The sequence below is a fragment of the Homo sapiens genome, chromosome 14, assembly GCF_000001405.40.
Source record: "Homo sapiens chromosome 14, GRCh38.p14 Primary Assembly".
Lineage (NCBI taxonomy): Eukaryota > Metazoa > Chordata > Mammalia > Primates > Hominidae > Homo > Homo sapiens.
This window is the reverse complement of record NC_000014.9, coordinates 98,783,502-98,785,662: the sequence shown is the minus strand read 5'-3', so window position 1 is coordinate 98,785,662 and position 2,161 is coordinate 98,783,502.

Sequence of the window (2,161 nt, the reverse complement as noted above, 5' to 3'; positions counted from 1 at the left end):
TAGAATCTTAATAAACTTCCTGTGTTTGATTGGGTGAGATAACTAGAGATACATATCATGTGTGATCGCTGCACGACAGAAGATAAGCTGGTCATTATTTTCAGATAAAAATGCCCATCCATCCACAGATTGCAATCAGGGGGCTGCCATGCAGTTCTTGGTCTATTCCAGTTAATTAAATGCTAAATGAAATTCAGAATTCTGGCTTCTAGAGATTCAACAATCTGTTGCCATGTGCTGCAAAGTCACAGAATACAGTCCGAGAGCTTTCCTGAGGGGCTAGTAGTTGCTCAAGAAATACTCATTCCCTTCTGTTGAGATCTCCTCTACAAAGCCAAATGGGGTGATGTCTGAGCCCTCTTCTTCCTCTGACAGATGTGAGTGAAAGGTGTTTGCCAGTGGGGTGGGTGAGGGGTCTGGAAAGAACTCTGCGTCCCATTCTACCTGCTGTGGGGTCATCATTCCTGAGCTCCCATTTTGTGCGCTGAAAACATGAAGCGTATTTAGATGAAAATGAGAGAAAAAGATCTATTATAACAATTCTCTATGTTGGAATACTGTCCTGATTTTTCTGTCTCCAGGAATCAGAATCAGGCAGTCTCTACTGGGCCTTGATACCTACCCCTAACTATATGTAGTTTTCCGCTGAAATGAGCACTAGCCATTATTACTGAGCACCTATCAATGTCAAGTGCTGAGCTAACTATTTCAAACTCAAGTTCATCCTCACAACATCCCTACATGGAAAGTATTATCACCCACATGATTCTGAAGCTCAGAAATGGTAAGCAAGTTGCCTAGGGTCACCCCACTAGCAAGTGGTAGACCTAGGATTCATATGTGTGCCTATTTAATTAATAATATTATTTAAATATTAAATAACAATTAAACCTACCATTGGAATTATTTATTCAATAAATACATCATTGAATATCAACTCCATGCCAGGCACTGTACTAGGGGCTGACGTGAGAACTGTGTATAGTTTGCAGTACTGGCTGCTGTCATATGATCTATAAAAATACTACCAAGTCTTTTTTTCCTCATCAAGGACATGGACCTTCTCTGTGTCCCACTGTGGTGCACTTTTATGACAAGGAGGTCTCTTCTTGCCTGAGCTCTCTTAATGATAGTGAAGAAGGCTAGTTGTTGTTGTTGTTATTCATACTCTTGTTCGAAGCCCAGGTTCTAAGACTGTGTAAACTACATTTAATTTGTCCCCAAGATTGTGTTTTCTCTGAGATGTTCTGCAAATTGCCAACCACTGGCATTCCCAGGAGGGAGGGGAACCTGGAGAAGACTCAACTCTCTACCTCCCTTTTCCTGTCCACTCTGCCAGCCTGTCACTTAGCAGTGTCAATGGCCTCTCATTGAACAGTGCACAGATGACCAGGGGACAGTCCAAATCTCCTCTGGGGATTGCTATCTACCTAGAAGAATAAACCATGTTCTTCATGCTTAAATATGGAGAGATAACCAAACGCCACTAAACATCTGAAGGAAACCAGTGTAACAAAAGAAAGAGATTAAGATCAACATGCAATCTGGAAATAAATCAGAGAAAATTCAGAAGCAATCGCCTCTAGGCTTGAAGTTCTTTGAAATGATATTGCATCAATAAAACAAGAAAAAAATGCCACAGTAAAAGAAAAGAAGAAAGAAAACTCTTTATTAAATGTCAAACCAATAAAATGAAATAGCTGGATAGAAATGGCAGAAGTTAAAGTCAAAGACAACTCCTAAATAAATAAGAATATTGATAGGAATTATAAGAGCTGTAGAGCATTAATCCAAGAGTCCCAGTGAATGAGTTTCCTACTGTACCTGTGACAAAGTACACAAATAGTGGCTTCACGTGACACAGATTTATTATCTTACAGTCCTGTGGATTAGAACTCCAACTTGTGCCTCACTGGACTAAAAGTCAGGTGTTGCTGGGCTGCATTTTTCCTGGAAGATCTAGGGGAGAATCCGTTTTCTTACCTTCTTCAGTTTCTAGAGGCTACCTATAATTCTTGGCTTGTGGCCCCTTCTTCCATCTTCAAGGCCAGCAACAGCAGTTTGAGTCCTCATATTTCCATCCTGTGACTTCCTCTCCTGACTCCCCCATTCGCTCTTCAGGATCTCATGACTCCATTGGGCCCACCTGGGTAATTCAGGA